The following is a 22,394-nucleotide window of genomic DNA, read 5'->3' on the forward strand; positions in this document are numbered from 1 at the left end:
GAAACTAAAAGCTTCTGCACAGCCAACAGTCAACAAAATGAAAAGGCAGGCTATGGTTTGGGAGAAGCTATTTGCGAACCATGTATCTAATAATGAGTTAATATCCAAAATATATAAAGAACTCACACAGCTCAATAGCAAATAAATAAATAGTCTGGTTAACAAATAGGCAAAGGACTTGAATAGGCATTTCTAGAAGGAAAACACACAACTGGCCAACAGGTATATGAAAATGTGCTCAACATCGTTAATAATCAGAGAATGCAAATGAAAACCACAATGAACTATCACCTCACTGTTACACGCTGTTGACAGACGTGTAATTGGTACAGCCGTTATAAAAAACAGTGTAATGGTTCCTTGGAAAATCAAAATAGATCTACCATGTGACCCAGCAGTTCATCTGTTAAGTATGTACCACCCCCCAAAAATGAAGTCCACATCTCATATAGATATCTCCAGTACTAACTAATTGTAACTCATTAATTACACAGGAAATTAGAGTTTCTATTTGAAAAGAATGTTTTTTTCACCATTCTGGTATCAAATATTTATTCTAGTCATCTCTTCTTATTTCTTGCTTTGTAATAACCTAGGTACTCACTACCCATTGACAGAACCAACTTATTATTCCAACAAGAAATGAGAAATACTGAGGAGAATGCAATGTGATACTTCTGTCTTCAACCAGTTATTCCAGTTTTATGGAGGATTCTGTATTTAACTCTTACTCAGGTAACTCTAGTTACCAAATCCATAGTACCTAGTCAACAATCCTAAAAAAGTAAGAATACAGAATTGACTCGAATGGTTACTAAACTTTCTATGTTCAACCAGTTTTCCTAGTAATTGCTAGTTGTTTGTTCAACTAGTACTGAGAAGAATTTGTTTATTCCAGGTACTGGCTTCATGTAGTTATCTCTAGTTAATTACTCACTTGGATAAAGTAGATATCTACTATATTAGGTAATATTTCTAACATGAGGTTGGAATTTTGCATTGAGGAAAATGGTTATTGAACTCCCTGGCATAGGCCAGTTATCTTCAGCTTCCTGCAATCAATTACCTGGTCTGGCTAATTCTAGCTATCTTTAGGTTGCTAATTACATGTTTACCACCAGATGTCTGTGGTAATTTATTATTCCAACAAAAAATAGTAGAATGATTAGGAAGGATTTTGCTTTTTCCAGGCATCACATAGATATTCAAATTATCTCCTGTTATCCTTTGGACCTTTTTTTCCTGGGTAGCACTCAGCACCTATCCTTATAAGTTCTTATACCAACTAAAATGAATAATTGAGACTTGCAAAGAACACGATTTTCAGGATCAGGTTCACTTAGTATTGCAATGACTGTTAGCTCTTTCTATGTAACGTGTTTTATGGGAAAGCCCAGTTAAGTAGAACTCATATATTAACTCAACACCAACAAAATTTTATCTGACCTGACTAGATTCCCTATGTTCTACATTCCACTGAACTATTGTTGTTGTCTCTATTTTACTACTTACTTAGGTATATGACTCATCTGTAGTAGTAATTCATTATTCCAACAATAACTCAGCAGTAAGTGGTGAGAAGAACGTGATTTTATTTTTAAAATTTATTTTTACTGAGGTAAAATATACACATGTAATGCACCCTCTTTACCACTTGTAAGTGTGCAGTTCAGTGGTAATATTTATATTCTTGTATTTATATTCTTTTATTTCCCCTTCATCCCCCGCTTCCCCTTCTGGCCTCTGGTAACCATCACTATAGTCACCATCTTCATGAGAACCACTTTTTTAGCTCCCATATATGAGTGAAAACATGCAATCTTTGTTTTTCTGTGCCTGGCTTATTTCCTTTAACATAATATCCAGTCATTCTTTTTATGCCTGGATAATATTCCATTGTGTACATATGCCACATTTGCCTAATCCATTCATCCGTCGATGGGCACTTAGGCTAAATCCATATTTTGGCTATCGTGACTTGCAATACACATGAGTATGCAGATATATCTCTTTGATGTACAGATAAATTTATTTATCTATCTATCCATCTCTCTCTCTCTCTCTCTCTTTCCCCAGCAGTGGAATACTTGGATCATATACTAGTTCTATTTTTAGGATTTTGAGGAACCCCATACTGTTCTCCATAGGGGCTGTAGTAAATTACATTCCCACCAACAGTGTACACAGGTTCCCCTTTCTCCACCTCCTTGCTAGCATCTGTTCATGCCTGTCTTTTGATAAAAGCCATTTTAACTGGGGTGAGATGATATTGCATTGTTTTGATTTGTATTTCTCTGATGATTCATAATAAGCATATTTTCATATGCCTGCTGGTCATTTTTGTGTCTTCTTTTGAGAAATATCTATTCAGATTATTTGTCCATTTTTAAGTCAGATTGTTTGTTATTAAATTTTTTGAGCTCCTTATGTATTCTGATTATGAATCCCTTATCAGATGGATACTTTGCAAATATTTTCTGCCATTCTGTGGGTTGTCTCTTCACTTGGTTGATAATTTCCTTTGCTATGCAGAAGCTTTTTAACTTGATGTAATCCCAGTAGTTTATTTTTGCTTTGGTTCTTGTGCTTTTGAGGTCGTACTCAAGAAGTCTTTGCCCAGACCAATGTCCTGGAGCATTTCCCCAATGTTTCTTGGTGGTTTCAGTTACAGGTCATAAATTCAAGTCTTTTTTTCTTTTTTTTTTTCAACAGAGTCTCATCTCACTCTGTTGTTCAGGCCTAGGCTGGAGTGCAGTGTCACCATCTCAGTTCACTATAACATCCACCTCCTCGGTTCAAGTGATTCTCGTGCCCCAGCCTCCAGAGTAGCTGGGATTACAGGTGTGCACCACCACACCTGGCTAAGTTTTGTAGTTTTTGTAGAGACGGGGTTTCACCATACTGGCCAGGCTGGTCTCAAACCCCTGACCTCAAGTGACCCACTCACCTCGACCTCCCAAAGTGCTAGGATTACAGGCGTGAGCCACCACTCCCAGCCAGATTCAAGTCTTTAACCCATTTTTGATTTGCTTTTTGTGTGTGGTGAAAGATAGGAATCTAGTTTCATTCTTCTGCATATACTTATCCAGCTTTCTAGTACTATTTATTGACATGTCGGTCTTTTCAGCATCATATGTTCTTTTTGTCTTTGTTTCAGTTGAGTTGGTTGTAAGCATGTGGCTTTATATATGGGTTCTCTATTCTGCTCCATTTGTCTCTGTGTCTGTTTTTAAGCCAGTACCATGCTGCTTGGTTTACTATAGCTTTGTAGTAAATTTTGAAGTCAGGTAGTGTGATGCTTCCAGCTTTTCACTTTTTGCTCAGGATTGCTTTGGCTATTTGAGGTATTTTATGGTTTCCTATGAATATTATAAGTTTTTTCCTATTTCTGTGAAGAATGTCATTGGTATTTTGATAGGACTTGCATTTAATCTGTTAATCGCTTTGGTGAGTATTGTGATTTATACAATATTAATCCTGTCAATCTATGAGCCTGGACTATCTTTCCATGTTTTTGTGTCCTGAGAAGACAGTGTTTTTTAAATTTCTGTATTTAGTTTTTTTAGCTATTATTACTTATTCCTAGTAAACTAATTACCTGGGTACTGGCAGGTACAGGTCGACCTCGTTTTATTGTGATGTACGTTATTGTGTTTATAGATATTGTGTGTTTTTTATAAACTGAAGGTTTCTGGCAACTGTCAAGCATGTCAGTGTCATTTTTCCAACAGCATGTGCCCACTTCATGTCCCTGTGTCACATTTTGGTAATTCTCACAATATTTCCAACTTTTCCATCATTATTATATCTGTTATGATGATTTCTGATCAGTGATCTTTGATGTTATTATTGTAATTGCTTTAGGACTCCAGAAACTGGGCCCATATAAGAACACACAAGGAGGCATCGCACTACCTGACTTCAAAATATACTACAAAGGTATATTTCAAAATATACTACAGATCTACAGGAGGAGAAAGATGGCAGAATAGAATGCTTCACTGATTGTCCCCCTGACCCCCCACTAAGGACACCAATTTAACAACTATCTACACAGAGAAAAACATCTTCATGAGAACCAAAAATCAAGTGAACACCCATAGTACCTGGTTTTAACTTCATATAGCTTGATATGGTTTGGCTGTGTCCCCACCGAAATCTCAACTTGACTTGTATCTCCCAGAATTCCGACATGTTATGGGAGGGACCTAGGGGGAGGTAATTGAATCATGGGGGCCGGTCTTTCCTGTGCTAATCTCATGATAGTGAATAAGTCTCACGAGATCTGATGGGTTTATCAGGGGTTTCTGCTTTTGCTGCTTCTAAGTATTAAGGTGGATATTGCCTGAGTTTGAGTCCCTCCTGAACAATAGACAAACGTCTCCAACTGGTTCGCAGGTGTAGGCGGTGCGTTCTTTGTCGAGTGCTGGTGCCACCTTTACCCTGGAGCAGTAAATCCACATGGAGAGGCTTTTGAGTTGAACAGCTGTCGGGGTCATAAGGAGAATTTGGTGTGGTCCAGTCCAAACTGGCTCCAGTGGCTTTTGGTCCTGTGGGAGAGTTTTAAGATATACCTAGTCTTCAAGCATAAGGTTAGGGTGAGTGTTTCCTGAAAAAGAGGGGCCAGGTGTTGGACTATGAAGACTTTGATAATGATTGATGGCCTTGATGGTTTGTCCCAGGGACATAACATATTGCATGAGATAATGTCTCTTTGGGTCTAACAAAAGGTCTGTTTGGAAGAAAGATCTTCCGCAGAGAATCTCAAAAGGGCTAGATGGGTTTCAGATTTTGGGGTGATACAGGCTCTTAAGAGTACAATGGGGAGCAAAGTTGACCATAACTGTTGGGTTTCATGTATTAACTTTGTGAAGTGCTTTTTCTGGTTTGGTTGGCTCTCTCCACCTTCCTAGAAGATTGTGGACGCCAAGACACATGTGTCTTCACTGCATTTCATTTCTTAAATAATGGAGAGCTTCACTGATTCTCTGCATTATTTAAGAAATGAAAGTGGGGCCATTGTCTGACTGTAGGGCATGAGGGAGTCTAAAACAAGGAAGAATGTGGTCTAAAAGGGCTGAGGTGACTTCTGAGGCCCGTTCAGTTTTAGTGGGAAGGGCCTTTATCCATCCAGTGAAGGTGTCTGCAAAGACTAACAGATACCTGACTAACAAATACACACATTGCATGATGCATGTGTGTAAAATATATTTGCCAGTCTTCTCCTGGTAGGGTTCCTCATCTTAGAATGGGTTGAAGGATTTGGGGAGGTTTGTGTGCTCCCTCTGGGTTTATTTGGCAGCAGGTGGGACATGCCTGTGAGATGGCCCATAGAGCTTGGGCTATCCCCGTGCTGGTGAACAGTGACTTTATTAGATCTTGGATGGCCTTAGCCCCCAGATGAGTCGATTGGTGCACGCTATTTAGAAACTTCCTTTGTGAGGCTCCTGGGAGCAAGAGTTTGCCATTAGGACTTTTTAGCCAACCCTTTGAGGTATGGGAGAAATCTCTTTCTAGAGCTTTTTGGGCTTCCCCCTGTGTATAGTGTGGAGACAGGGAAGTTACGCTAGGAACGAAGACAGCTTGAAAGGGTGACCTGGCAGCCACTTTTACTTATTTGTCATCCCAGGTGTTCCTGATAGAGATTTCATCATTGCTTCTCTGATGGGCTTTGCAGTGAATGATAGTGACCTGTGGAGGAAGCATAACTGCCTCCAACAGGGCCATGATTTCAGGAACACGTTTAATTGAAGTATTTCAGGCCATTAAAAGTCCTCTTTCCTGCCAAATGGCTGCATGGGCATGCACTGCATGAAAGACATAGGCTGAGTCTGTGTAAATATTAAGCCTCATGCCTGCCCCTAATTGTAAGGCACAGGTAAGAGCAATGAGCTCAGCCTTTTGGGCTAAGGGGCAGAGGTCCAGATTCCGTGATTTCAGTTAGGTTAACAGTAGCATACCCTGACAGTTGGGTTCCACCTATCATAAAGCTACTGCCATCTGTGTACCGTGTGGCCTCTGAATCTATAAGGGGAGTATCCTGGAGGTCTGGTCTAACATTACAGGTTAGATCTATGGTTTCCAAGCAAGAATGTTTAAGTGGTCCCTCCACATTTGGGTTTGGTAACAGCATGCCAGGATTAAGGGTTGGCAGAGCCTAATACTCAATTCTGGTACCTGTAGAAAGAGTGTTGGAAATTTGCTTATATGGCTCTGTGAGATCCAGTGAAAGGCCTTTGAGTTTAGGACATTCATTACTTGATGTGGGGTGTAGACAGTTATTCCTTGGCCCAGAGTTAGCTCGGAGGCCTCCACAGCCAGGAGAGCCACACACACTAGCACTCAGAGGCATGGCAGCCATCCCCATGCCTTTTTTTTGACAAGTAACTAGCTGGCCACTGGGAGGGTCCCAGTGGCTGAGTGAGGACTCCAAGGGCTGTATCCCTTCTCTCAACTATGAACAAGTAAAGATGCTTTGTAAGATCTGGCAAGGCCAGGGCGCGGGCTCGTTTGAGGGTTTTTAGAACACTGTCCATTTCAAGGCTCCAATTTAAGAGCTCCCCCCCGATCCTTGCAGTGCCCCATAAAGAGGTTTTGCTATAAGTCCTAACCGGGTTGCCCAAATGTGACAGAAACCTACCATTCGAAGAAAGGACTACAACTGATGTTTAGTGGATGGAATGTCCACGTTTAGCATAAGATTTTTGCGGTGGTCTGAGAGATCCTTGGGCCCTGGGATGAATGTTAGTCTCAAGAATCAAACCTCCTGAGAGAAGATTTGAGCTTTGGAAGGAGACACTTTATAACCACAAGGAGCCAATGTCCAAAGAGTTGTAATAGTATTTAGGTCTGAGGCATTTTTGGTTGGATTGCAAATAAGCGGTTATCAACATATTGAAGGACTGCTTGAAGCTAGGAGTTTGAGACCAGCCTGGACAACCTAGTGAGACCCCTTCACTACAAAAAAAGTATTATAAGCTGCGGGTGGATGCACACACCTTTGGTCCCAGCTTCTTGGCAGGCTAAGGCAGGAATGTCGCTTGGGCCCAGGAAGTAGAAGCTGCAGTGAGCTATGACCATGCTACTGCACTCCAGCCTGGATGGCAGAGTGAGACCTTGTGTCAAAACAAACAAACAAACAAAAACCTTCAAGCCCTGTGCTAGCCACTTTACGGATATATAAATGTATATGCATAGGGTAGATAATCTTCACAACAAAGGGAGTAGGTAGGAATTTTTTTTATTTCAAATAAAGAATAATCTCATTTCACATAAAGATACTTGAATTTCAGGAGCTGAAAGAACTTGCTGAAAGTTACAAATTAATTATGTGACAAGGTTGGAATCTGAACTTATCTTTCACCACTACTACTGTATAGCTTCCCAGGTTTATAATAGTAATTAAATCGAGGAGGGAAATAAGTAAAATTGGCCAATGAAAGGGAAGCAGCACAGGTATAAATAAACTTACCCGTCATAAAGACCTCCTTCTTATCATGCAATGTCCTGCTTAATATGTAGACATAAATAAGATCCATGTCCATTATTAGCTCAACAAGTAAAATGATTCATTTTATTTTCCTTTGAGGGTTTTTTCAAAAGGAAAAAAAGTGGGCTAGCACAGAATGTGTTCTAATCATGAGTATAGAATCGGAGATTCTTTGTTTTAGTTTTTTTGAGACGGCATCTCGCTCTGTCGCCCAGGCTGGAGTGCAGTGGCGCGATCTCGGCTCACTGCAAGCTCTGCCTCCCAGGTTCACACCATTCTCCTGCCTCAGCTGCCTGAGTACCTGGGACTACAGGCGCCCGCCACCACGCCCGGCTAATATTTTTGTATTTTTAGTAGAGACAGGGTTTCACCATGTTAGCCAGGATGGTCTCAATCTCCTGACCTCGTGGTCCGCCCGCCTCGGCCTCCCAAAGTGCTGGGATTACAGGCATGAGCCATTGCACCCGGCCAGAATAGGAGATTCTTTGTAAATGAGTATATGTGTTTAAGAAATATATTCATATGGTTATGTTGAGGCAGATGCCACATATCCACACAAACCACATTAGCATCTGCAGTTTTCCAATTTCAGAAATAATTTTCATGCCTACATGTAAAAATGCAAAAGCATTCATGAACACATTACCTATTTTAGTAATACATATTTTAATACATAAATGATTTAGTTTATCAATAAATTAATTTATGAGTGTGATAAAGAACAGAGGACACAAGAATTTATGCAGCATTGAAAGTCTTTGGCCACTGGGTGTCATGATTTTCCCCTGTAATGATTAACTCTTCAGCAATAAAAGATCCTGAATTTTTGGGGAGGAACACTTCAGTGTTACACGGATTAGCATTGTCAATAGAAAGTTTTATTAAAATATGCCACAGTTTTTTCTCAGATTATTATGTCATATTTAAACCACATTATTAGTGTAGCTTTTTACCTGAAACTGACCAAGAAATATTAGATGTTCAGATATTTAAATAACAAAGGAATACACAATTCTGTCGGTCATCTTCAAGTTTTATTGTATCCAGGTTAAATCTGAAGAATTTGTACAGTGTATTGATGTGTGTGCCTGCGTACATTTTTGGAAGAACTCTTGGTTATACAGAATTTCCATTGTAGAGAAGTTAGCCCTAGATATAATTATTGTGTCTTAGTGTCCAACTGCTTTTACCCATGCCTTGTGTGTGCATATATGATGGCAGATGTATTCTAAAACTGCACCACTAATCAGAACCAGATACCTATGTTTTTTCTCTATGAATATGCTCCACTCTGCCAAGTTCGATGGAAGTGAGTGGTTGTGGCAATTCAAAACAGTTGTGCCTGTTCTACAACACAAATGCTGCTGAACTTGGAGAAAAGACCTGTGCAGACAGAATGAGAAGACTTAGTTGCTCTAAGAACATCATTGGAAACTTTCTTTTATTTTCTTTTCTTTATATTTATTTTGAAGACTAGTTATTGCCTAAGTTGTAAAGGTGAATCTGATAAAGTGGCTGACTAGTTTAGAGGTCAATATTTAAGCCATGTGATTGAATCTGTAGAGGGCAAGAGTTGGAAAGATGAAAATGGGTTCATGGGACAGTTATATTTTATTTTTGTTGTTTTTGAAACTGAATCTGGAAAATATCCAAGTTATGTTTCAATATATAACACTACATCTTTAAATGACAATTTTGGCATATATTGTTATGGCCATTTAATAAATTGCTTTTTATTAAACTGGTGCAAAAATAATTGTGGTTTTTGCCATTACTTTCAGACCTCAATTACTTTTGCACCAACCTCTTACTAGTCATAAGAACATCCTTGCTTTTAACATAAAGGGATTGGTGAAGTTACCATGATTCTCACTTAAGAATTACTGAGAAAAATGCAGCAGCAGGGGTTAGCAAAAACTATTAGTTAATTGAAGGCCTGTGTTTATTTGAATGAAAGGATTTTTCATTTAAATTATAAAAACAGAGGAAGTGCCCAGTTATATCAAATCCATGTTCAATTTTATTCACAGAGATGGTGACAAAAGAGTAAATGAACAATGTCAGAATCAAAAGATACTCTGCCTGGTAAGAACTTGCAATGGAATTTTTTAAAAATGAGATTAAAACAAATAAAAATATGTTTAAAACTCATTAAATATTTTTTAAGTACTTGCTGTTTTAATGAAACTGAACAACAAAGACCCTGTCCTTAGTGAGCCTGCAAGCTAGTGGGGGACTCCAGTAATAATCAAACTATCACAAAAATATGCCTTTAAAACACATCACATTCTGTGAGACGACCTGCTAGGTGTTGGGGTTCAGAAAAGGTTTCTCTGCTGGATTGATGTTTGGCAATCAGGCCAATGGGAATGGGGCTTGGGGCGAGGATGACGTCAGTTGTCCAGGTAGCACTCTTGAGTGGAAGGTGCATGGATGGTTGAGGGACTGAGAGAATGTTACTGCAGTTAGAACTTAAAGGATGAGGGTGGGGTTCTGGGCATTGCAGGATAGAGACATAACACATGATGCATCAGGAGAGAAAAGGAAGGAAGGGCTATCTTGCACGATTTTTTAAAGATACACTGAGAACCTTGGCCATTCCTTGAGAGCTCACACTGGAGAGCATAAGAGCAGTTAGAAGACTGTCACAGTTACCCAGAGTAGAGACGATGATAGCTTGCGTAACGGTGGTGTTGGTGAAGATGGAGAAAAACAGATAAAATGAGAGATGTGTGTGTGTGTATATATATATAATATGTATATATATAATATGTATATATAATATGTATATATATAATATGTATATATAATATGTATATATAATATGTATATATAATATGTATATATAATATGTATATATATAATATGTATATATAATATGTATATATATAATATGTATATATAATATGTATATATATAATATGTATATATAATATGTATATATATAATATATATAATATGTATATATATAATATGTGTATATATATAATATGTATATATAATATGTGTATATATATAATATGTATATATAATATGTGTATATATATAATATGTATATATATAATATGTGTATATATATATGTATTCTAATACTCAAGTTGGTTCTGTTTCTCTGGAGAACACTGACTAATACAGATGACAATTGAGTTATTGATGTCATGGGTATAATTAAATTGCTTAGGTAGAGTATACAGTGAGAAGACAGGAGGTCAAGGAAGGACCTTTGAGAAATTCCAGCACATAAAAGCTCATATAGCAAAGGTTTAGTATTGGGTTTACTTAGCACTCCTACTCCTCTCCCTTCATTGTAGAACATTACTCCTGCACACACATATCTGCTTGGAAATGGACTTACACGTGTAGTTTTCTTGTCGTCTTCTATTTTCTTCCTGGACTCCACCATTCTGGTAACGTTTGATGGGTTCAGCTGTCCAATATGATCCAAATAGACAATATGATTTTCTTCCTGGAAAGAACAAAATATACAACCTGATACTGAGGACCTCTCAAGTCATTGAAAGGTCTTCTGAATTATTTGAGTTCAGCAAGGGCATTTCATTGAACCTTGAATTGAAATAATTATCTCTCTAATAGGAACAAACTCAGGCTAAATATAGACTATGTACAAACCTAGAATACATGTGGAATCATCAGTTATTGAAAGATAAGGCTGGGTGTGGTGGCTCATGCCTGTAATCCCAGTACTTTGGGAGGCCAAGGTGGGTGGATAACCTGAAGTCAAGAGTTCGAGACCAGCCTGACCAACTTAGTGAAACCCCATCTCTACTAAAAGTATAAAATCAGCCGGGTATGGTTGCACATGCCTATCATCCCAGCTACTTGGGAGGTTGAGGCAGGAGAATCACTTGAACCCAGGAGACAGAGGTTGCAGTGAGCCGAGATCACGCCATTGCACTCCAGCCTGGGCAACAGGAGTGAAATTCCGCAACCCCCTCCCCCCTGACAAAAAAAGAAAAGTCATTACTTTAATGACTGTGGCAGAGTTCACATCTCATTTACCCTCACCAGCAGGGTGGGTGGGTATGAAGGCCAACACCAATTTATAAATATATTATTTTTACTTATCCAATTTCCTGGTTGTGTATTTTTCTCCCAAAATAATTATAGCCTTACTATGCAATTTGTCACATAAAGTTTGTTTTCAAGAAATGTCTTTAGGTAAAATCTTGTATCCATGTGCTAAAAACTATTGTCCCTGCCTAGTGGCCTTTAAAAATTTATTATGTATATTTGAGGTTTACAGAAGAATGTTATGGGATATGTGTATCTCACTCGTGGTCTTGCAAGCAAATATACCAATTATTTTCTTCTTTTGGAATTCTAAGTGTCCAGCCACAATGAAGTCATCCACTGAGGAGTGAAAGACTTTCACTCCACTGAGTTATTGTAAATGTGTTTGGGGCTTCCAACTGAGAAGTAACCTCATCAGATGGTTTCTACAGACTCCTATTCTATATTTCATTGCTACACAATGAATCAAAAGTAAAGATCCCAAGAATGTCTCTCCTTTCTTAGGTCATAACACCACAGGGGCAATTGCACTATTTCAAAAGGCAGACCATTCTAGTGTCTGTTCTCAGGGTTTGTTTCTGTTGAAGCAGAGCTAAGGCATTTTACACCCAGAAATAAATTCTAATGACAAATTAATTCATGTATTTCTTTACAACAGTGTCTCCGTGAATTGAAATAAAAACCCATTGGCACAGTAGGAAGGATGATCTTTATCAGGGAGGGTCACACTAGTGACTGACTATTACTTCTGCTGCATATCCCTTTGAAAACCAGAAGTGCAAAGTTGTTTAGATTACACCTAAATCGATTCTGCAGAGGGTATGTGTAGAGAAATGAGGATCATCTGTGTGACAGGCCGTTTATCACTATACATATACATTTATAAAATGCATGTTTTAGAACTGTCAGCTTTCCTTTTATATCATCATCGTCAAGTATTTTAAAGAATGAAATAAAATTTATTGAAATGCACTTGACAATGATCAAGGCACAGCTTAAAGCCTGGAGAGCTGTAGTTTGCAGTGAGCCTGGAATTTTGAAGTGCTGTACTAAGCAGCCATGCCAATTGACGTGTTTTAGTCCTGTGAGGTTTACCTGTTGTCTTTCCCAAATTTCCCAGAATTTTATCCTGGAAGGCTCTGGCTGATCCTGAATTCATATTTGGGTGTACCTTGAGTCTTTGTTCTGGAACCCAGCTGGGAAGGGCTCAGTCTGCCTAGCCCAGGCAAGGCCTGGAAGCAGACCTCAGGGAGGGCCAAACTACCCCTGGATGGCCAGGAGAACCTGGGCTGTATGGGGCCATGCTGTGAGGGTGTACTGCTTTACTGGGAGAGAGCAGACCAGGACAGACCTTCAGAGTCCAGGCATTCAACCACGTAGAAGGGAATTAGAGAAAAAAAAATAGGGAGACAGTGAAGCATACAGAGCAGACAGCTTCAGTGAAGAACTGTGATGAGAATTACAAGGATTTGCTGAGGAGAGTAAAACAGTAAAAAAAAATAACAAGGAAACAGTGCAAGAGAAAGTGAGGGAGAAGCAGACAGAGAGAGAAGATGCAGCTATGCACACATGCAAAGGCAGAGAAAGAAAAAGATACGCTTGTGTATGTGTGTGTAAGGAGAGAGAGAAATAGAGACAGAGACAAAAAGAAGGGGTTTATGTCAGCCATGCACCAAAATATTCTTAATCCCAACACTCAAGTCTTCATTGGGAGATATTAAAAAGTTGAAAGTCCTACAGTGATACTATCCATCATATAAACAGTGAGTGGCATCTGATTATAAAATTATAATAGCAGTAATTTTTAATTTTTAATTTTTCTTCTGTGGTATTATCCTATAGCAATTGTAAGAGTGCATAAAGTTAATAGTTTTTTGTTATTTTATTAATTTAAAATTAAAGCGAGTTTCAAGGAGTTATTTTGGTGCTTAAATGAAATGTAATTCCAAATGTGTTGATTGAATGCCTGAAATGTGCAAGGCACAGAGAGATGCTGAAGTGTAAGACCCAGGGGGATCTATGAAACTAAGGTAATTGGACCTATAAGGCAGGTTTACTAATCATTGAAATGCAAAGGAGAATAAGCCACATGCACTTAAATGAATTCATTCAATGATTCAGGGGTTGAAATTGGGAAAATCACACTTGACTCTAAAGAAACAGGTAAATACTCTGTTAAGAAGAGAAAGCTGAAGAAGATAGGAAAGGAAGCAAAATTTCTATTGGCCTAGTAGGAGCAAGGACTAAAAGCCAGACATGGGCCATGTCTGGAAAAGAGTGAACAATCCCATGTGACTAGAGCAAGGGTGAATGCAGAATGAGGATGGAAGACTAATGCTGGGGATTGCAAACATCTGAGGAAGACTCACAATGCCAGTTGGAGGAATGTTCAGGTATTCAGTGGGTCAGGGGAGCTGCTGAATGGTTAGAACTGAAGAAGAATGTTGCAATGCATTGCAGAAATATGTTTGCATACACATTACAGAGATTGTTACTAACTTGGTAGAAGGTGATCAAAGGCTCACCCCACACAGCAGAAACCAAGTTTTGAGACTTATCCTCAGGTGTGATTCCATCCTATGTAGCAGCACTGCCCAACAGAACTTTCTGTGATGATCAAGAATCTGCGTATCTGTACTGTCCAATATGGTGGCCAAATGGGATTACTGACCACTTCACATGGGGCCAGTGAGACTGAGAAATTAATTTTAATTTTATCTAATTTTAACGTATTTAAATATAAATATAAACACCTTAGGTTGCTGCTACTGATTACTGTATTAGACAGAAGATACAGCTATATAAGGATGTAGCATGAAAAGAAAAAAGCTTGTAAAACATGTTAAATAATATAAGATTTTGGTCCATTGAGGTCCAGAACTTTCTCCTATTTCCATTTCCAATACACTATCAGGTTAATTATCAGAAAATTTCTGCCTCATTATGAAACTGGATGTTTAGAACATTGTCAAGGATACCCTAAAGGGTATTATGGACCAAGAGTCTAAGGTCTAATCTAATTTAACAAATCCCCAGTTTCTGTTTTCCTGTCTGTTACAGTCACTTGACCGATTTTAATTGAATGTTCTCGTGTAGTGTTTATCAAATACCTTCAACCTTTTAAAACGCTTTGCTCAGTGGCAGCTCATTTTTGAGGGTGGATTTCTTTTGGTGGCTGAGAGAAAAGCAACTCCAAAGACTCATTTCGTGCTCGGAGATTCGTGCAGCTATAATTGATTTAGGTGTTGGGCAAAACAGTCAAGGTGAGAAAACACATGCACAAACAGAAGTCATTACTGTAAATGAGAGGAAATATCTTCCTTGAAATACTGTAGACAAGAACAGAAAAAAACAGAAGTACTTTTCAAGGAAAATTGGATCAGATCAAGAAATTCTTAATAGCTAAGTGAAGTCTTTCAAAATTATGCTCATAGCAGTGAACTGAACTATTATTAATAGTCTTTGAGATGAGAGTGAAAGTGATGGCTAATGGATCCAGAGATGGATTTGACTCCTTTTGTCTCCAAATTCCACTCTTTATTGGCTTTGAGGCACCTTAATGAAGCCCAAGGTCTAGAGAAAACAGAGTTGAAAAAAAAAGTGTGCCTTAAATTAGATTAAATGGCCTCAATGCTATGGTGGAATAATACAACAATTCCTATTCTCATCACAGTTACCCAAAATAGAGAAGGAACTGACAAAGGCCACTTGAAGATGGTAAAACAAACAAACATGCAACAACAAAAACCCGGCAACGTGGTTTGTGGATGAAAACCCAAAAGTATCCAATTGCAGTTTGAGACGTGTTTGGGTTAGGTTGGCATTTGATTTCCAGGTGAAAAAAATAAAAGGAATTAAGCTCTTATAGATCAAATGAGAATGAGAATTTTTTGCCAAAACTACTTTGCTATATCAACAAAAATTTAAATATCTCCCAAACAGAGAACACTACAAACAAAGAACAACCCATCCATTTCTAATTCTAATTTAATTCTATCACAAATGGGAACTGAACTCTGATATATGGGGTTTATATTTGGGATATGTGTTTAAGCTAATGGAAGAGCTTTGACAGGAACAAATTGTGAATTCAGTTCTATATTAATCTTAGAGCTTCAGTTAGTTATATAACAGCTCCTTCTCCCAGAAGCATATTAAGAAAAAGGAACACTCGGAATGTTTCAGTGTACTTTAAATGAAAATATAATTTTGCTATTTCCACTCATTTAGTCTTGGTGCTTTGTGGTACTCAGAAAAAAAGATTATTATTTTTTCCTTTGGAAACTTTTTTAAAATGTTGACTTTTGTTGATGAAATTCTGAGAATATAGTCGTCGGTTGCATTGCCTGCTAGAGAGATAACAGGAACATTTCAAGACTTAATGCACACACTGTGTCAGAAAAAAGAAAGGCTGTCTCATTGTGTGGTTCTGCTTAAGCAGCTAAGACACTTTCCTTAGAATACATCATGCAACGTCTTATTCTCGTTAGCCTGAATGGGTCTCATGACATTCTGGAACCAATTGCTTTCAAAGGCAGTAGACCCAGACTTCTTCAGTTGCTTTTAAGACTTTTTAGATGTCTAGTGCATGTGGAGAATGACATCTGTGTGGCCCACTGTGGCAATCTCCAGAGATAGTTCCCAACCTCTAGCCAAAAAACCCGGAGCATCTGGCTACCCATTGCCCCTCCCAGCTGAAATCCTGGCCCGCACCAGTCCTTTTTCTGATTAGACTCATGGGTAAGCCCAGGATCTCATGCACTTCCCCTGAAGTCCAGGGCTGAATGGAGCAAGGGTAGATATCACTGAACACACAGAAGAAATGGGGTCAGTGGGAGAACAGCAGGGAAGTGAAGGGTAGGTGACAGAGTATCCATTAAATGGTTTTCCTTAGGGACTCCCTGATTTCTTTTTTCTCCCACAGTCCAAATATTATCTTTTTTCACACAAAATATAATTATGCAAATATAATTTCCTTTGCAATATTAGCTACTGTCTATATCTTACTAAAATGCATCCAGCTAAAACAACATCATTTTGTACATAATGTGGCTGGCATCTATAAAGAAGGGAGTGAGGAAGGAGAAGGAGTAGGAAGATGGCGAGTGAAAGTGCTGCTATCTTTGGGAATTTGGTTGACAAACATTCACTAACATTATCTATAAACCATAGGACATTTAATATTTAAAGACATATTGGAAAGGATAGTGCTTGTGAGTTGCTATCCTGTAAGACACTTTCAGTTATTTGAGTCATTTACGACTGCAAAACATTTGAGGATTTCTACTTTGTTCAAATGCATTATTGTCCTACTATGAAAGTGCCTGGTGACCACAATGTCTTGGAATTGAGAATGTTTTACTTCTTTAGGGAGCCTGATACCTAACTCTGCCTGAAATGTAACAGAATTCTTCTTAGTTTATAAGGAAACATAATACCCCAATGTTCTTAAGTAATATCATCATTAACATGTGTATTAAAACATACTGAATGTTTTCTTATGCAACAGTAGATAACAACATAATTGTTCTACCTGGATACTGGATTATATCAGCACATGTTATAAACAGATCATTTTCTAGAAACACAAAAAGGTTTGAGATGAACTTCAGTGCCCCTACTTTAATCAGCAGGGACCAAAATTGCCTTACTTCAAACTCTTGAAATCTAGTAAAAATGGCTACTCGTGTGCTTAGAGAGTTATTTGTTCTAGATTTAATCTTACAGCTACTTAGGGGAAAAAAGTTGAACTTAAAGGTAAAATGTCACTAGATGTATTTTCTAATCATTCTCAAAGCATGACTACTCTGCTTATGTTTAGTTATCTTGAGAATAAAGTTTTAATGCTTACCTCATGTTCCCCGAAAATTCCCCATATATTTTTCTGAGATGACCATTCTGGGTGAAAAGGCATATTTCTATTTGTCTTACAGCTAGAAAGTCAGAAATAGGCAATGGGATAATTGAAGTTGAGGTGGACAGTTGCTCCTCCAGACATCACTTTATGAAGTATAAGCCATAAAATATTAAGGTTAATCCATCAGGTGTCTACACTGCAATGCATGTCTCAGGCATAACTAAGCAGCCCCATTAATGTGAAAAATTGGCACACATCATAAACAACTGCACAAACATAACCAGTGTCCTTTACAGCAAAGAATGTAGTTACAACACAAGATGTTGAAAATCCCATGAGGTATTAGCCGGGGGAGTTCAAGTGTTCCTCCATGAGTGTTTCAAATGACTTTAATGGCACAGTCTTCTCAGTAACCTCTAAGCATGCATCTTATAATAAAGGATTCGAATTATTTTTCCTTTTGAGTTGAATTGGGCACATTCGTGTACATAGTCCTGGGCATGGGTGATAAAATATGAATAAAACACATTCTGTGCTCTTAAGGAGAATGCAAGTGAGAACAGAGACAGAATATTCATATGAAAATGAGGTGGCGATATCAGGTTGCATGTAATACTTGACAGATGGGGGGTGCCCGAAGTATCATGTAATTCAGAGCAAGCAGGCACAAGTTGGAGGGGGTAATTAAGACTTCCTGGGAGCTGAAGGGAAAGTGAGAACTCAAAGGACCCCAAGGCAGGTGGAGGAATTAGTGAGTCATGGCCTGGGAGGAGAATTTAATGATATTTTATTTTGAGATAGAAATTGGAGAAGAGAAAGTCGTCAATACCTTTTCTTTTTATGAGTGGTTTCCATGATAATTAAACTAACGTTTTACCAAAGTAGGTTTTCTACCCTGACTTCTAAATAAATAAAGGTATAAAGCAAGGGTTTGACAGGTATTTTAAGTGGTATTCCCTACCCTTGGAAAAATGGTCTTTTGCATATTAGTTCACCTTTGCACACTGCAACAAGTAGCTCTGTGGAATCTTTCCCTGTGAGAATAGTTTCCTAAACTGATAATATCTCTGGGCTTCCAGACAACTCAAAGGCTAGAGGGGGAGGAGACTAATTATGAACAAAATTGAATTGGTTTTAAATATATTTGTAATAGATTTTCAGATGAAGATGCTTACTCAAATTACCAATAAAAAAAAAGAGTATTGGGATTTCGGAAATGTTGAGACTCAGTAGTTGACCATTTGACCCAGTAAGTGATAATAAGACTTTGGTTTATGGAGCTGCTTCGTGCAACAGGGCGTGCCTTAGTACTACTGATTAAAATGGCAAGAACCGAAGGAAAATAGGACTCGTTACAGGGACACCTAAGACCAACAATGAAATATGCCCTTTGTCTACAGAGTATGCTAATAGGATCTGGGGGCCATATTCAGAATGAGGTTTTTTGCATTGTGAATTTTTGGTATTTATAAAAGTAATCTTTTAACCCATCTTTTATCAGGTCTTCATCTATCTTCTCAATTAAGATTCTGAGGCATAGCTTGAGGTCAGTCAGTTGAAGCGGACACTCTAGTTCATTTGATAAAATGGTGCACTGAGGCATGAATCAGCCGCAATCTGCCCACAGTTCCTCATCCCCGCAAGGGAAAAGAAGGCCATTTCACGAGACTGAATTTTTACAGGTATTTCCAAACTATGAACTCAGTGTGACCTTGGCACTTACCAGATAATTTGAACCATTATAGAAATGAGAACATGTTGTAAAAGCATACAGAAGACAGACAAGTCATAACTTCTGCAAAAGCCAATTGCTTCATCATAGCAGCATTTTTCTCATTATTTGCTGGGATAAATAAATACTGAAGCCAGGAATAACTCACTTATTTAAAATTGGTTAAATGGGCAAGTGCCATAACTAATAAGTCTTCCAATTAGGAGCTAGGTTGAAAGCTCTACATCATGCGCTGAAGTTAAGAAATAGAACACTGGAGTAACCTTTAGGCAAAAAATACCACTACTGCTGCTAATATTATAACATGTCTCATATTTGTCATAGCTCTGCCATTTTTGCCATGGAGGCCACATGTTTGTGAGCAGAGGGCTGTTAGGTGTTTTTATCTCTCGTAGACTTCTGAGTTCATTGCAGGCACTGGAGCATGGGGAGGCTGAAGAGCAGGGAATGCCTGAGGGAGGTGAGTCACAGAGCAAACAGGTGGTACGACTGCAGGGCGGGGGCAAGGGTGCAGTAGAAATACTCATCCAATGGCAGGACAGTTTTGTACAGGATCCTGGAATGTTTGCGAGACTGCGCGGAAACTCACTCTCCTTGCCGGCAAGAAAGCTAGAATGCCCTGTCTGGGCCACACCTCAAGTCCATGCGTGCTCTTAGCTTCTGGGACCTATGCTATGATCCCTGGGAAGCCCTGGGGGCTACTACCCTGGGTTTTAGGTTATTGGTCAGGAAAGTCTAGTACTCTGCAAGGCAGACCGATACTCATTTGAATATAAAGACCAGACACTCCCTTGAAAGAGAATGCATGTGTATTTTTTTACAGCCAGCTGTAAAACTGGAGACTCCTAGAAAAACTGGAATTCAAACAAATTTGTCTTTCTTTCAAATGCTACCTTCCTTTTAAATGAGAAGTGGTTTTGCTTGTCGCCCCCTCCTCCTCCATTAACATGCTGGGATATTTAGAAGAAATACGTAAAGATTAGCTAAAGTATCCTAATGTTTATATAGGCATACCCAGAATCCTAAAAAATTTCCTGAATTGTATCTGAAAGTTTTCTGTGAAAATTAGAACCAGTACTTGAAATGGTGCTTGAAAATTTTCTATGGTTCTTCTAAGTCATCTTCGTGTAATAGAATTACAACATAAGTCAAAATTGGATGTATCTGTATAATTTTAAAATGTCTAGTAGCCACATTGAAATAGGAAAAAGAAACTAATGAAATTATTTTTATAGTATATTTTATTGAACCCAATATATCCCCAATATTATAATTTCAACATGCAGTCAATACAGAAATACTAATGAGATACTTTACATTCCACTTTTTAAATGTTGAGTCTTTGAGATCAGTGTGCATTTTACATTTGCAGCACATTTGGAAGTGCCACACTTCAAATTTGAATAGCCACATGTGGCTACTGGCTACTGTATACAGACAGTGTAGCTCTACTTACAGTTGGTGTGGTTAAGCAACGTTGACAGAATGAGATTTCCTGGGCCTCCGCATCCACCGAATATCACCATTAATAGATTTGATTCTCTCTAAAATCTTAGGATTTTATACCACAGATATAGTGCTGGTCTGGAATAGCAGGTACTTACCTAAACTAACCTTAACTAGAGACCACAAGATCTTCACCCCAAATCCCCAGTCACCTTGATCATTTCTCAGAACTACTTGGGAAGTCAAAGTTTTCAATAAACAAATGTGTACACTGAATGAATTTAACCTCAAAGACAAAGGCTGTGGTTTAGGATGAGTTGACTTGAAGTCAGTCTTCTTCAGCATGACTTCAGGTCAGCTAAGGACAAACCACAAGGAAGCTTTTAATCCAAACTTTGGTGCCAGCCTCCTTGCAAATAGAGTTGGCAGGGACCTAATATATTATGTAACAAATCCTCGTCTTCTTATAGATGAAAAAAACCGAGGTTTGGGAAATGTACTCAAGTCACCTAGGACTTTGAAAAAAACATTTTTAAATAAAACAAGGTCTTCTCATCATTAGAAATATTCATTGTGATAAGATGAGGCAAAATGCATAAATAAAGTAAGGACTTCAAAGTTTACCACTATCATGCTTTCCTCCATCTTTTCAGATCTCCTTAGATTTGTATGAGACATTCCAAAATTCAGACTTTTCACTTCATGCCTATAAACAGGTTGATTACAAATTTTGGATAGGACCAAACTACATGTACTCGTGCTGTTTTGTCAGGTACAGAATTCATATATGATCACTTTGTCCGTCTAAAATATCCAAATACTGCAGAAACATACAGAGTGAAATGGATGAATTTCCTCTCACCCGCCATCCTTCCTGGCCCAAGTCCTGTTTCCCTTTCCAAAGGCAAACATTCCCAGTTTGATATATAACCTATGATGTTTTTCTTAAATTCATACACACATAACACTTATTTTAAATAAGTATTTTATATTAGGAGAGTTTTAGATTTACAAGGCAGATGTGAAGATAACACAGAGAATTGCCACCTATTTCCTACCCCATTTCCACTATTCTTTTTGTTTTAACTTTTATTTTAGGTTCAGGGGTGTGTGTGCAGGTTTGTTACATAGGTAAACTTGTGTCATGGGGGGTTGTTGTACAGATTATTTTGCCTCCTAGGTATTAAGCCCAGTACCCATTAGCTATTTTTCCTGATCTTCTCCCTACTCCCACCCTGCACCCTGTAGTAGGTTCCAGTGTGTGTTGTTCTCCTCTATATGTCCAACTGTTCTCATCATTTAGCTCCCACTAAGAAGTGAGAATATGCAGCATTTGGTTTCCTGTTCCTGCATTCGTTTGCTAAGGATAATGGCCTCCAGCTCCATCCATGTCCCTACAAAGGACATGATATTGTTCTTTTTTATGGCTGCATAGTATTCCATGGTGTGTATGTACCACATTTTCTTTATCCATTCTATCGGGCATTTAGGTTGAATCTCTGTCTTTGCTATTTTGAATTTCACTATTCTTAATATCTTACATTAATATAGTATATTTTCCACCAATAATAAACCAATATGCATACGTTCTTATTTACTGAAGTCCAAATTTGTTTTAGATTTTCCTACTTTTTTTCTAATGTATTTTATCTGGTCCAGGATAACACATTAGATGTAAGCATCATGTCTTCTTAGGATTCTCTAGACTTGTGATTGTTTCCGAGATTTTCCTTATTTTGGATGACCTTGACAGTTTTGAGAAGTACTGCATGGGTATTTTAAAGAGTTGATGTTTTTCTCATGACTAGGGTGGGGTTATGAGTTTTAGGGAGGAAGAC

At 38.3% G+C, this 22,394-nt stretch overlaps 2 long non-coding RNA genes across 5 annotated transcripts in view, besides 1 other annotated feature; both read left to right on the top strand.

The window, feature by feature from the left end:
- Window positions 1-2,119: part of a meiotic recombination region, noted in NCBI's record as "meiotic double-strand break mapped by DNA meiotic recombinase 1 chromatin immunoprecipitation followed by single-stranded DNA enrichment and sequencing in the germ cells of some male individuals with PRDM9 A/A, PRDM9 A/B, and PRDM9 A/C genotypes", that runs on past the window's edge. NCBI's record gives the evidence for it as "EXISTENCE:chromatin immunoprecipitation-seq evidence [ECO:0000229][PMID:25395542]".
- The window catches only part of LOC107985675 (uncharacterized), a 528,885-nt gene that overhangs the window by 244,094 nt on the left and 262,397 nt on the right, over window positions 1-22,394 (top strand). The window lies entirely within an intron of this gene.
- LOC107985676 (uncharacterized) lies at window positions 227-9,645 on the top strand. Its single transcript, XR_001755791.3, has 3 exons — window positions 227-735; window positions 3,865-3,939; window positions 9,520-9,645. It is a non-coding gene; the product is annotated as an uncharacterized LOC107985676 (long non-coding RNA).

This window comes from Homo sapiens, chromosome X (assembly GCF_000001405.40).
Source record: "Homo sapiens chromosome X, GRCh38.p14 Primary Assembly".
Lineage (NCBI taxonomy): Eukaryota > Metazoa > Chordata > Mammalia > Primates > Hominidae > Homo > Homo sapiens.